Below are 2,220 nucleotides of genomic sequence, written 5' to 3'. Positions count from 1 at the left end.
AGGGGGTGTTGTCAATTCTGTCTAAGCCACCAGGCTGGGAAATTAAGGGCAGTATTAGGAAGGAGGAAAGACAGAATGAATGATGGGGAGGCATCCAGCGAATATCCTCTCCAGGGAATCTGTCTAAACTCTGTGGCTCCGTACTCACTGCCCATAGCTGAGTAGCACATGCTTGACCTAGTATGTGACAGAGATAGTGAGTTAGTCCCAGTCTTCTGCTTTTATTATAGTAGCAGACTTTGTAGTCTGCTGCTAAAGGCACATGGCTGCTAAGCTAGAGACTATATTTTCGGCCAAGCCCGGTGGCTCACGCCTGTAATCCCAGCACTTCGGGAGGCTGAGGCGGGTGGATCACCTGAGGTCAGGAGTTTGAGACCAGCCTGGCCAACATGGTGAAACCTCATCTCTACTAAAAATACAAAAATTAGCCAGGCGTGGTGTCTCACGTCTGTAATCCCAGCACTTTGGGAGGCCAAGGCAGGTGGATCACCTGAGGTTGGGAGTTTGAGGCCAGCCTGACCAATATGGAGAAACCCCATCTCTATAAAAATACAAAATTAGCCGGGCGTAGTGGCACATGCCTGTAATCCCAGCTACTCCGGAGGCTGAGGCAGGAGAATCGCTTGAACCTGGGAGGCGGAGGTTGCAATGAGCTGAGATCATGCCACTGCATGCACTCTAGCCTGGGCGACAGAGCGAGACCCCGTGTCAAAACAACAACAACAACAAAAAAACCCTATTTTTTCTAACTTCTTTTGTAGCTGTGGCCATGCGTTGTCACATAGTTATGGCTTATGGGAAGGAGTGTAAATGATTTGATCAACTTTGTTTCCTTTTTGTGAGAATGCTGCTAGTTGATCTTACCTTACTGCAATGTTGGTTTTAAGGCATAATGCAGATGTTTTCTGTAAGTTTTATGAGATCCCCACAACAAAGTATTCAATTTATTTATAATTTCAGCTTTTATTTTAGATTTGGGGGTACATGTGCAGGTTTGTCATAAGGGTATATTGTGTGATGTTGAGGTTTAGGAACATGATTAATCCTGTCACCCAGGTACTGAGCATAGGACCCAGTAGTTTTTTTGGTTTTTTGTTTTTTTGAGACAGCGTCTCACTTTGTCACCCAGGCTGGAGTGCAGTGGCACGATCTCGGCTCACTGCAACCTCGGCCTCCTGGGTTCAAGCGATTCTCCTGCCTCAGCCTCCCAAGTAGCTGAGATTACAGGCGCATGCCACCACATCTGACTAATTTTGGTATTTTTAGTAGAGATGGCGTTTCACCATGTTGACTAGGCTGGTCTCAAACTCCTGACCTCAGGTGATCCACCCGCCTCAGCCTCCCAAAGTGCTGGGATTACAGGCATGAGCCACCGCACCCGGCCAGAACCCAGTAGTTTTTTCAACCCTTTCCCCACTCTCTCCCTTCCCCTCTGGAGGCCCCAGTGTCAATTGTTTACATCCTTATGTCCATGTGCACCCAGTGCTTAGCTCCCACTTGTAAGTGAGAACATGCAATATTTGGTTTTCAGTTCGTGTGTTAATTGGCTTAGAATAATGGCCTCCAGCTGTATCCATATTGCTGCAAAGGACATGAATTTGTTCTTTTTTAATGGCTGCAACAATCAACTTTGGTGGTAGACTTTAAGGAATGAGCTTCCCTTTCCTCATCCTGCTGGCTGGAATGTAGGCCAGGAGTTGAACCGTTTGGACTCTTTGGTGAGGACAACCCTTAGAGATGGTGGAACAACAATATCAGGATTCTGGGCTCCCGAACAACCTAGAAGAGCAGGAGTGCCGCTGTGGGCCACCTGCCTCCTTACTATTTATTTATTTATTTATTTTGTGAGACGGAGTCTCGCTCTGTTGCCCAGGCTGGAGTGCAGTGGTGCGACCTTGGCTCACTGCAATCTCTGCCTCCTGGGTTCAAGCAATTCTCCTGCCTCAGCCTCCCAACTAGCTGGGATTGCAGGTGGGCACCACCACACCTGGCTAATTTGTGTATTTTTAGTAGAGACGGGGTTTCACCATGTTGGCCAGGCTGGTCTCGAACTCCTGACCTCAAATGACCCACTCCCCTCGGCCTCCCAAAAAGTGCTGGGATTACAGGCGTGAAGCACCGGGCCCGGCAGCCTCGTTACTATTTTGTGAGCAAGAAATAAACTTCTACTCTATTTGAGACATTGGTAATTTCAGTCTTCGTTTAAAGCAGTGGAAGTTA

The 2,220-nt window shown here is 47.8% G+C and overlaps 1 annotated feature.

Moving 5' to 3' along the window:
• Nucleotides 214-376: a silencer, noted in NCBI's record as "fragment chr17:4667359-4667521 (GRCh37/hg19 assembly coordinates)". NCBI's record gives its function as "represses an EF-1alpha promoter that drives an FKBP-Casp9 reporter gene in an ReSE screen in K562 erythroleukemia cells {active_cell/tissue: K562}" and the evidence as "EXISTENCE:reporter gene assay evidence [ECO:0000049][PMID:32094911]".

Source organism: Homo sapiens, chromosome 17, assembly GCF_000001405.40.
Source record: "Homo sapiens chromosome 17, GRCh38.p14 Primary Assembly".
NCBI classification, from domain to species: domain Eukaryota; kingdom Metazoa; phylum Chordata; class Mammalia; order Primates; family Hominidae; genus Homo; species Homo sapiens.
The sequence above is the reverse complement of the archived record's forward strand: the minus strand, read 5'-3'. Positions and strand labels throughout refer to the sequence as shown.